The 12,528-nt window shown below is 43.3% G+C and overlaps 1 long non-coding RNA gene across 1 annotated transcript in view; it reads left to right on the forward strand.

The window, feature by feature from the left end:
• The window catches only part of LOC105375951 (uncharacterized), a 261,361-nt gene that overhangs the window by 138,470 nt on the left and 110,363 nt on the right, over positions 1–12,528 (forward strand). The gene's annotated exons all lie outside the window — the stretch shown is intronic.

The following is a 12,528-nucleotide window of genomic DNA, read 5'->3' on the forward strand; positions in this document are numbered from 1 at the left end:
TTTAAAAAGAGCGATTAAAGGAGTGAGATGCTGCAGATACGGCCCCTTCATCTTCCCTATGAAAAGTCTAAATAACCTAAGAAGAAATTCTGCCAGTCCCATTTTGGAGGTCTTAGAAATCACACTGTTCAAATCTTCCATTGGGCTGCCTCAAGCCTTGAAAAACAGCCAGCTTCTCTCTAGGCTGGAATGTGTCTGCAACTTCAACCCTGGGTGCCCGTGGAAGAAGAGAATGGCCTGCTCAGTGCTATATGTGGATGTGTAAATTACAGCAGATGATGCACTTAGCAATTATGTTCTTTGCATACATAAGCAGGAACAACAGCTCCCAAACTGCCAATATCCTTCTCAATTCTCACAGAATGACTATGTGTCACACGGTCACGCAGCAGGGGGCCTGGAAATGAGATGAAGGAATGGCACAGTATGAAGTTTCAATTTTGGAGAAGCACCCCTCCTGCAGTCGTGAACGAGCAAACAAGAAAAACTTCAGAAGGTGCGATGCCCTGGCTGCCCGCCCAGCCCTCCAGAATCTGGACATGGCGTGCAGAGGAAATGGAGGAAGGGAAGCAGGGCCAGAGGCTCCTAAGCTACCACACCTGGCACAGCTGTGACTATGCAGACGAACCTGGGAATGCTGCTAACTAGTTGCAAACTGAGTGAAGGCTTTAATGAAAGAGCTGAAGCTACATCACAAATCCAAATGCCTAGATGGGACAGGCAGGTCATGTAAACAAGGAAAGTGGGTCCATTGGCAACTCTGGGAACTCTAGAGAGTGCACGTGCCCCATTGACTCATCTAAAGAGTGGCTGCACTCCATCTCACGCCACTGTGGCTAAGCAGGAAGAGCCAACTCTTTCATTCTTCAGGAGAAGCTGAAAATCCTTGTGTGGAGGGGAGTGTGTGTGTGTGTGTGTGTGTGTGTGTGTGTGTGTGTGTGTGTGTGTGTGTCCTCTCCCAGTTTATAACTATTAGCAACAAATTAAATTATTCTAAAACATTGTCAAGATTTACGTTAGTTATCTATGCAGTAACAACCCCAAAACTGCTGGCATAAAAAAAAATTTTATTCTGCTCTTGACTTTTTGTTCAGGAATTAGAGTAGAGTTTGGCCTAGTGATTCACATCTAATCTACCTGGCATCAACTGGGGCAGCTGGCGCTGGTGGATCCACTTCCAAGCTGGATCCTTCCCCACATACCCAGCACCTCTATACCTATGCTCCTTGCCACCCCCATTCCAACCCCCTATCCCTGTGTCTGCATGGTGTTTCATCCTCCAGGGTCTCTCCACGTTCCATAGTAGGGTTTCTATGGACGTGGGTGTCAAATGCTGGGGTTGGGGGAGGGGCGGCATTAGGGAAAGAGAGGACAGACGCTGAGATGCAGGCACAGGTGACAGCTGGGGAGAGGGCTTGGTCCACAGCAGAAGAGCTCCAACCAGGAGCTCTCGTGACCCACAGAAGGCACAGCCAAGCAGCCCTCCTGGGCAGACAGAGCCCAGCTGGAAGAAAGAAAAGACAAACCCAAGGACGTCCCTGCTTCTACACTGCTTGCTATGTCCAAAGTCAAGATCATTGCTGGGGCTGGACCTGGTGGCTCACGCCTGTCATCGCAGCACTTTCGGAGGCCGAGGTGGGTGGATCTCTGGAGGTCAGCCCTCCAGAATGTGGAGACAGCATGGTGGTCTCAAGAAGTTGTACATTTTATATGGCAACTGGCATCCAAGAAATAGAAAGTAGAAGCTCCCAAGCCAGTTAAGGGCCATGCTTGGATCAGCCACAGCATCACTGTCATCCTATTCTATTGGACAAAGCAGTCACAGTGCCCACTTAGTCTCATGGAGGCGGAGAAATTGACTCAGTCTTTTGATGGGGAGTGACAAGGTCACCCCACACAAGAGCATGTGGTGTGATAGATGTGGTTGCATTCTATCTCAAGGTCAAATACAACACATATGGAGTGAATATGACCTGAGCCCACCAGTTTGCAATCTTTAAGTTAAAGGGCATTGATTGGGGTAGTATGGTAATTCAGAGTACGTATTTTGAGCCAGACTGCCTAGTTTCTAACCCTGACTCTACCACTTACTCTCTGAGGCATCTGGGGCAATTTACTTCACTTATCTGCATCTCAGTTTCTTCTTCTAACATAATAATATTACTGAGCCTATCTCCTGAAGATTTTATTAGCCTAGAGGAGTTAATATTGTAAAGTGATTAGAGCAGAGCCTCACACAGAATTGGTGCTCTATATGTAATAGATCATGTATTCCTTTGCTAGGGCTACCATTTAAAAAGTACCATAAACTGGATTGCTTAAGCAACAGAAATGTATTGTCTCACAGTTTGAAGGCTAGAAGCCCAAAATTAAGGTCCTGGCAAGATTGTTACTTTCTGAGCACCGTGAGGGGAAGATCTGTCCCAGGCAGGCCTCTCTCTTTGGCTTGTAGATGTTCGTTTTCTCCCTAGGTCTCTTCACATCATCTTCCCTCTAGGTATGTCTGTCTCTGTGTCCACATTTCTCGTTTTTGTAAAAGGACACCAGTCCTATTGGATTGTAGCCCTCCACAAGAACCTCATTGTAACTTAATTACCTCTCTAAATGCCCTATCTACAAATAAGAGCACATCCTGAGGTACTGGAGGGTTAGGATGCCAATACACCTTTTTGTGAGGGACACAATCCAACCCATAACAGACAGGACTGTGGTGATTCATTCATCCAATGGATATTTCTGGTGTGGCCAGCAGATGTATATAGCACAGTCACATGCACTAGAAAGATGTGTGCACATATATAGATATTTTGCATATATACATATTTCTCTTTGAGGACTATATATAATGTATATGTTGTTATATATACATATATATTTTCCACATGTATATCTACATTGCTCATATGTGTGTGTGTGTGTATATATATATGATATTCTCAAAATGCACAAAGAAAACATTTACTAGCAGCACAAAGGTATAAATGATCAAATAGCATGTGAATAATGATGGTAAACATGTATACTAGCGAAATTTGAAGGAGAGAGATTATGTATCTGGTGTCCCCAAGGTAAGACCTATAACCGGGGCATAACTCGACTTGAACGGTTGCTTCTGATGTCCTGCTGGTCTTGTTCACATTGCTTGTTTGACTCTCTGGCCCTAACATGGGTATCACTTGACATCACCAGATTTCAAGCTCAGCTCCAGGACAACTCTTGCAGCCCATAGTCTAATGTAGACACTGCCCTCTGGATTGCCAGTAAGTCTTTATGCCTCATCACCAATGCCCAGATGTGAACATTGACCCTGTTCTGCTGAGGCCCATCCATTGTGAACAGTTTTAGTAAGGGGAGTGCTCGGGAAAGATGATGTACATGAGATGGAATTCTAAGTAGGTCCTAAAGATTGTGGATGATTTCCTCAGATACAGAGGAAGGGAGAGAGATGACCAGTTGAGGGAGCATGTGAATACTCAGGAGAAGGGCAGTGCACACTCAGAGGACATAGGGAAGTACGTTTGGCTGACTAATAGGAAGGCTTTGGGAGCAGAGGAAGGGATCAGAATAGAAAGGCCTCCCTGATTCCTGATTGTATTCTTTTTAAATGTCTCTGACACTAATCCTCTACCTTACTATCCTCCTCCTCCACCTGCTCCCCATGTACACGCAGACAACAGCTACTATAGAGATGTGCTTATCATATGAGTAGACCTCAATAACAAGAACCATAGCTTAGCTAAGCAGCTCAAGCCAGGTGCTATGGTCTGAATGTCCATGTTCCCCCCAAAACCATATGTTGAAGCTCTACCCTCCAATGTGATGATATTTGGAGGTGGGGTTTTGGGGAGGTGATTTGGGTTAGATGAGACCATGAGCATGGAGCCCTCATGATGGGATTAGTGCCCTTACAAACAGACATGAGGGAACTTGCTTCCTCTCTCTCTGCTCTTCACCATGTGGAGGATACAGCAAGATGACAGCCAACTGCAAACCAGGAAGCGGAACTTCACCAGAACCTGCATGCTCATCTCAGACTTCCCAGACCCCAGAACTGTGAGAAATACATTTCTGTTGTTTAAACCTCCCAGTCTGCAGCAATTTGTGATAGCAATCTGAACAGAGTAAGACACCCAGTGATGCCATTTTAGAATAACTACTCTATGTACAACTCACCAGGTACCTCTGGGTGACTAGGAAGGGGTCTCCAGAATCTTAGAGTGTTTCTCTTCTTCTGTTATATATGGTTATGTCTATTTAACAGAATGCTAAGATTAGACTACACATGCCTCAGTTACACCTGAGCCACTGGTAGGATACAGAGGAGGAACACAGTGAATGTAAGCTGAACGCCGTATGCTGTCTTCTCTCTAATTCCATAGCTTCTTGTTAAGCATGAACACTGTCTCCATTTCTAGGAAACATCTTGCCTGTATTCCCTAGAAGGCAAAGATAAAACAGGATGGCAGAGTGGCCGTAAGCTTGGACCTCAAACCAGACAGCCTGAGCCCAAATTCTGGGTCCATGTCTTACCAGCTGTGGGATCTTGAGAAAATCACTTAAGCTTCTATGCCTCTGTTCCCTCAGCTGTAAAGTGGAGACAATGATTACTTGTACATTATGAGTTAATAGATTAAAATCACATAGAACAGTAGAAAAGCACATAAGCACCAGGTATATATTAACTGTCATTAATATTGGCTACAGGAACATGTAAATTACACAGTGTTTAGAGCAAGTGTGAAAACTCCAAGAGTCTGTGAACTCTTTAGGAACAGGATCCTTCAACCACGCAGAAAACCAGAACTAAGAATGCACCGTAATTAGCTCCACAATTAATTTCCTCAAAGGAATACACTTTGCGGTGCTACAAAGGCGGAATTATATCTGACCTGCCCTCCAAAAAAGAAAAAAATGTTGGATTTGGCAGAGGGACAGCCAAGATAAGGACACCCAACTTTAAGTACTTTAAGATTCCAGGTATAAATCAGTAGGCAGCAAGCTCTTCTAGTCATCAAATCCTGTATTTACCTCCTTCCACTTCTCAGCGCTCCCCTGCCTTTCCAAGAAAAAAGTGATATCATCAGGGCTCATAGCAAATAGGCTCAAGGAATGCACTGTGAAAATTTTTCAACACCTGAGCAAGCATTACCCTCCTACTATTACTGTTCAACCTGAATTAATATGGCATATATCTATAATTATGAAATATTTGTGTATCTCTGCATATATTTTATACATATAAGCACATATTGGCACACATGCACACATGTATACTATGTTGAGTGTTTCTTCAGGTCTTCCTTATGTGTCCGAAATGCATCTCTTGCCCTTCCAAATGGTGCCTTAAAATAAAACTATAATTAATTCAGCAAAGAACTTGACAAAGTCTAGAATTACTGATAATCTGATTTATCAGTATTTTATCTGAATTACTGATAAAGCTATGGAAAGGAGATATTGAGATAATGTATGTTATGTTCAAAATAAAACAAATATAAATCATCCTATAAAACTTTATATTCCACATTCCTGGAAGGGAGGTGGGAGTACTTTAGAAACTGTTATCTAGGGGACAAAGGAATTCAGAGTGAAACAGTGCAGCACAATGGCCTAGAACTACAAGGTTTGTAGAAAAGGGCATAGTTTTAACCTCCAATTCCACTTGTTTGGCCCTTGGTACCCCATTTCTTTTCAACAACACTGCAGACCTGAGAAAAATATCTTGGCTTAAGTTGCATGTGTAAATGAATTTGTAGGTCTCAACCCGGCTCTTGTGGCTGAGTGTAGCACTGCATAATTTGACACGATTCAGCCTGATTGACAGTGGGAAGCAGACTGCAAGATCTCACAGGTCAGGACAGAAAAGGGGCCTGGCAGAAGGGCCCAAGGCATGTTGGGTAGCAGACTGCACTCCCCCAAGCCCTCCCCACACATGAAACAGAGCAAGAGTCCAATAAGCTCATCTGAAAGGCCTTGGGTTGTCCACAGAGCAACCAAGGAAAAAGCACACTCCAGCTGGCCAAAATGAGGTCTTTAATGCCTGACCAAACTCCAGCAGGGGAAGAATCCCCCAAGGAGGAAAAGCCCACAGTGAGATGGATCTTCACTGATGGCTGTTCACAGGCAGGAAGGAAACCATAAGAATTCTGACAGCCCCAAAGATTCTATTTCACGAGCACCTTTCACCGCCAGCCTATCTTCATTCTGATTGGAGCCATCTGTGCAGTCCCATACCTACTTTCTCCAACCCTGTCATTCACCTCCAAAAGCCTAATGATTTTTAGGGTAGATTGAATTTATTGGCAGACATCCTTGACTCTGAGCTTTCCAAAGTCTTTATCATTTGACAGATACTGCATGCTCAATTAGCAGATGTCACTGGGTACCTGTCCTCCGAATTTGGTCATGCATCACACTTCTCCACCATGACCATGTGCTCCAGAAGGTAACCTTATCTCTGGCTCAAGAATAAATATTGACTAGTCTAAGGCACTCTTGTTACCACCATTCTCCTGGCAAGGTATTTATTTTGGGACCCAGTCCTGACAAAAAGGACATGAGAGAAAGTTTTCTTAGATAACTAGACAGAATTTTCCAGTCAAAAGGAAAACTGTCTCTTGTTCTTCTGTTGGATATTGTCATGTCTGTGTAACTGGTTGTTAAAATAAGACTATCCCTGCCTCATCTGTGACCGAGATACCAGGAGGATACAGAGCAGATATGCAGTAAAGGTGAGCTGAAAATCCTTTATGTGGCATTTCCACAGGACCTAGTGAAAAACCAGCTCCACAGCTCTAGCGGTAAGATGTGAAGGGAAAGGAGTATTTTGGAGATGGTATTTCATTAGAGAGAATTGTTACCATGCTGTAGTCCTCTCTTCCTCCAGAGGAAACAGGGAGGAGTATTGACTGCTGCATCTTAAGCCTGGAGAGGCTGGGCTTCCTGCACTGTCCCTGAATTTGGAAGAAGTTGTAGAGTTAGGTTTGCCTCTTGCCTCTACAGCAGTGGTCCCCAGCCTTTTTAGCACCAGGGGAACTGTTTCATGGAAGACAATTTTTATCATGAACCAGGATGGTTTGAGGGCCTGGTTTCGAAATGAAACTGTTCCACCTCAGATCATCAGGCATTAGAATTCTCATAAGGAGCACACAACCTAGATCCCTTACATGCACAATTCACAATAGGGTTCACACTCCTATGAGAATCCAGTGCCACCACTGATCTGACAGGTGGTGGAGCTCAGGCAGTAATGCTCGCTGGCCCTTCGCTCACCTCCTGCTGTGCAGCCCAGTTCCCAACAGGCCGGGGACAGTCTGTGGCCCAGGGGTTGGGGACCCCAGCTCTAGAGGATGTGAGAAGGGCTAACAGGTCCAGCGCAGCCAGGACAGAGCTGATACTTTGAGACTGGCCTGTATTCCCAGTTTGCCAGAATGAATGACACATGATTCTCAAATACTAGTCATGAACCATGCAGAGGAGAGACAGCACTGGCTCATCACAGGGCACCTTGAGGGTCACAGGGACTCCAACAGAAACACCCTAAAAATGAACCTTAGATTCCTGGGGCTAAGGAAGGAGTTGTGACTGACCATCCAAAAAGAGATACATCTACCCACATTAAGAAAACAGCAATCCAATTACTGGGTATATACCCAAAGGGTTATAAATCATTCTACTATGAAGACACATGCATATGTATGCTTATTACAGCACTGTTCACAATAGCAAAGTCTTGGAACCAACCCAAATGCCCATCAATGATAGACTGGATAAAGAAAATGTGGCACATATACACCATGGAATACTATGCAGCCATAAAAAAGGATGAGTTCATGTCCTTTGCAGGGATATGGGTGAAAAGGGAAACCATCATTCTCAGCAAAGTAACACAAGAAGAGAAAACCAAACACCGCATGTTCTCACTTATAAGTGGGAGTTAAGCAATGAGAACACATGGACACAGGGAGGGGAACATTACACACCAGGGCCTTTCAGGGGTTAGGGGGCTGGGGGAGAGCATTAAGAGAAATACCTAATGTAAATGACGACGATGGGTGCAGCAAACCAACATGGCACATGTATACCTATGTAACCTGCATGTTGTGTACATGTACCCCAGAACTTAAAGTATAATAATTTAAAAAAAAAAACTGCAGGTGAGTGGCCCCATGGATGGAAGTGTCCTGTGAGCCCACAAGAGTGCCCTGGGTTAGTTTTAAACAACACTAAGAAATAAATAAAAGTAATAGATACATATGCAAACAGATAAATAGATATCAGAGCTTTCCTATCCCCCAGCACTCTTCTGTGAGCCACTCCCTGGCTAGCAAGCAGGGAGGGTGGTCAACACACCCTTCTCCCAGAAGTGAACCATAAGAGGGCCCACAGGAGCGGCACACTAAGGAAGCAGGAAAACAAGGCCCACAACATTTTGGAGAATTTTGGAACAGTAGTAATACTAACTAAAATCAGTCTCAGTCTGTTTTTCATGATCACTCTGCAGTGACAATTCTAAACAATGCCAGTGATAAAATCCCCTCCCCACAGGGCCGACTATGGACCACTGCCACCACATCCCACACCACTCTTGACTTTTCTCACTGTGAGCTTCCAGCCTGAAGCTAACATAAGGTGGGGGACAGCAGGAGGAGAAAATCTTATGTTAAATCAAGTTCAGAGTTTTGGATAATATCCTCTATTCAACATTCATAGTATCGAATCAAGATTGTGTTTGCAGCTTAATGCGATTGTAGGCTTGTCTATTAACTAAGAGCAAGTAGAAATTTATGAACCTTTTGGAGGCTTCATCTAGAGACTGACAGAAATTACCTGCATTGAATAAGGTTCTAAGGGGCAAGGGGTTGGGAAGACAAAGCAATTGCATTTTGATTGCTCATGAGTTGTGGTTGGTCAGCATAGCACTTGGTAAAAGCACACATGGCCTTACTGAAACTATAAGAACAATCGGCCTGGCTGGGCATGGTGGCTCACGCCTGTAATCCCAGCACTTTGGGAGGCCAAGGTGGGCAGATCACCCAAGGTCAGGAGTTTGAGAACAGCCTGGCCAACATGGTGAAACCCCGTCTCTGCTAAAAATATAAAAATAAGCTGGGTGTGGTGGCTCATGCCTGCAATCCCAGCTACTCAAGAGGCTGAGGCAGGAGAATCGCTTGAACCCGGGAGCTGGGAGTTGCAGTGAGCCAAGATCGCGTGCCATTGCACTCCAGGCTGTGTGACAGAGTGAGACTTCATCTCAAAAAAAAAAAAAAAAACCATCAGCCTAAGGACAAGCCAACATGCTGGCAATGGCCAAGGAGAAAGAAGGAAGCACTTGAGTCTGACAATGTTGTTGAGCTGTTGAAGCTGTCAATCCCAAAGCTTCCATATCATTGGACTCTTACGTGAGACAATAAAGGTTCCCCATTGTTTAAGGCATTTGGAGTTGATTTTTTTTCTATTTCTTGAAGTAAAATGCATTGAGCTAGACATGGGGCAAAGTAAGTTGTTTGCCATCAAGAATGTTATAATTTAAGTCAGGTCTGGACTGACAGAAGTTTTTTTGGGGTGAATTTTACGCTCAATTCAAGTTCTGATACCAGCCAACCATTTATTGTACAGACAGTAAAAAGACATTTGAAGCTGTTAACCTATTGAACAGAAGCTAGCTCACTGGAGAAGGACAAGAAAGCTTCCTTCCCATGTATAAGCACATAGTAGCTGTTTCACTTGGCTGTCTCCGGGTAGGAAATAAGAATCAAAATTTCCAACTCAGTATGAACTTCAGGGCCACATTAAGTAAGTTGGCAATCAAAGCCAATGCAGGAGTCATCATGTCCTTTGCCACACAACTGCTTTTCGCTGTCTTCTCCTCGTCCCTTTCCCAACACCTCAGGCCAATCCTGGATACTCCCAAGTGAGTTGCCAATCATTCAACAAACACCTCTGAAGAATCTAGTGGACTCCCAGCATTGTGCTAAACACTGGATCACAGATCTAGATACAGTGGTTTGCCAGAAGCTTTTGCAGAGAAGGAAATTGAGCTTCCAAACGACTAAGTGAGATTCAAAACAAGTTCAGTCCAACTTGAAAGTTCTTGATCTTTCCACTAGGCTACTCAGCTTCTCAGAAGCATAGAAACATAAGACTTGGTCCCTGCTTCAGTGAGCTCATAGCCAAAAACATATAAGGTGAGACAAAAATAGAGAAAAGGAAGAGGAATTTATAAGTGACAAGTATTGCTTAGATATGCCAGAAGATAAACTGGATATCCACAACAGGAAGGGAAGTAGGGTGACAATAGAATAATTTATGTTTTGTCCCTGAGCAAATGCTTCTGGATTTTAGCTTCTGTGGCCTAATTCATTCACTAGAGCTTAATTTTAGCAAAATAGCAATATATATGTCTTTGATCCCCTTACAAGGCTATCTTTAAGGGCCGTTTTATAAGAAGCCCTGCAAACAGAGCTCCCTTGAGTTTCCAATTTTTTTTCCTTCCAGTGACATTTTCATTCTGATAAGAATAAGTTCTCAAGGAAGAATTTGTTGGCAGTGGATAAGATAAGCAGTTTTAAGCAGGGGCTTTTCCTGGTGTCTCCCAATATGAATATGGGCTTTGACCAATTATTCCCAAACCTCTTTATTAGAGAAAGCAGATGTGTTAAAGAATAGAGTGAACCATTTTGGTGTTTTTCTGGACAGAGTGGATGAGTGAAATGAAAATGATGTCACTGTTCACATATATTTTACGCTCGTATTTAGGCTGATTGTCAGAATGTATATTCCCCAGGATTTTTTTTTTTTTTTTTAATTTCTGAGTCTTTTCTACCAAAGATCTTTTTGTATATGTGTGTGTGTGTATATGATCTTTTGTGTATATGTGTGTGTGATAAGAATACTTAACATAATATCTACCCTTTTAGCAACTTTTAAGTATAGGTACAATAGTGCCTATACTTGTTAACTATAGGCACTCTACACTATAGTAGAATCTCTAGGACTTACTCGTTTTGCATAACACCCTGAATTCTTACCTGTCTTCTTTTTCTTGCCTGGGAGCAAGTACCTAGAGAAAAACTTGCAGGGATGTAAAGTTCTTATTATTTCATTGGCTAGCTTATCTATATATATAAAAACTTGGTAGAAAAATAGGAGAAGCCATTTTCTATTATCTAGGCTACCCTGCAGTTATTTTTCCCATGTTTTTATCATATATATGTTTAAAGGTTGTCTGCATTTAGAACAATCTTTATTCTGCTCAAAAGACAAATATGTATTAACCTGTGTTAAATCTTCATAGAATCGAAGAATCTCAGAGTTTACAAAGATCATAGAAAAATTTCCCAGACTCCAAACAAATACTTAGATGTCTTCTACAAATACCTCTAATCTTTGCTTGCAAACTTTCAGTTACTAAGGTAGCTTTTTCTTGTTGGGGGAAATGAAAATTAATAATGAGAATTAACAAAATGTTTCCTTTTTTATTTGCTTTTGCACTTCAGCAATTGGACCCTGATATGGTTAGGATGTTTTGTCCCCTCCAAATCTCATGTAGAAATGTGACCTCCAATGTTGGAGGCGGGGCCTAGTGCCCTGTGTTTGAGCCATCGGGGAAGATTCCTCATGAATGGCTTAGTGCTGTCCTTGCAGTAATGAGTGAGTTCTCACTCTGTGAGTTCACATGAGATCTGATTGTTTAAAAGAGCCTGGAACTGCTTCCCTCTCTCCCTTCTCCCTCTCTCGCCATGTGACATGCCTGCTCCCCCTTTGCCATCAGCCATGAATAAAAGCTTCCTGATGTTCTGACCAGAAGCAGATGCCAGCACTGTGCTGCTTATACAACCTGCAAAGCTGTAATCCAAAATAAACCTCTTTTCTTTATAAATTATCCAGCTTCAGGTATTCCTTTACAGCTACACAAAACAGACTACCACAGAAAGTTGGTATTGAGGCTGGGCATGGTGGCTTACACCTGTAATCCCAGCACTTTGGGAGGCCGAGGCAGGTGGATCACAAGGTCAAGAGATCGAGACCATCCTGGCCAACATGGTGAAACCCCAACTTGGTGAAACTCCATCTCTACTAAAAATACAGAAGTTAGCTGGGTGTGGTGGTGTGTGCCTATAATTCCAGCTACTTGGGAGGCTGAGGCAGGAGAATCTCTTGAACCCAGGAAGCGGAGGTTGCAGTGAGCCGAGATCGCGCCACTGCACTCCAGCCTGGTGACAGAGCAAGACTCCGTCTAAAAAAAAAAAAAAAAAAGTTGGTATTGAGGAGTGGGCCACTGCTATAAAGACAACTGAAAATGTACAAGTGGCATTGGAATGGGTAACAGGTAGATATTCAAAGAGTTTGGAGGGCTTAGAAGAAGATAGGAGGGAGAAGGAAAGTTTGGAACTTGCTAGAGACTGGTTAAGTGATTGTGACCAAAATGCTGATAAAAATATGGACAGTGAAGACCAGGCTGATGAGGTCTTTCGTGGAGATGAGAAAGTTATTGGGAATCAGAGTAAAGGTCACCCTTGTTACACC

The sequence above is a fragment of the Homo sapiens genome, chromosome 9 (genome assembly GCF_000001405.40).
Source record: "Homo sapiens chromosome 9, GRCh38.p14 Primary Assembly".
Classification (NCBI taxonomy): domain Eukaryota; kingdom Metazoa; phylum Chordata; class Mammalia; order Primates; family Hominidae; genus Homo; species Homo sapiens.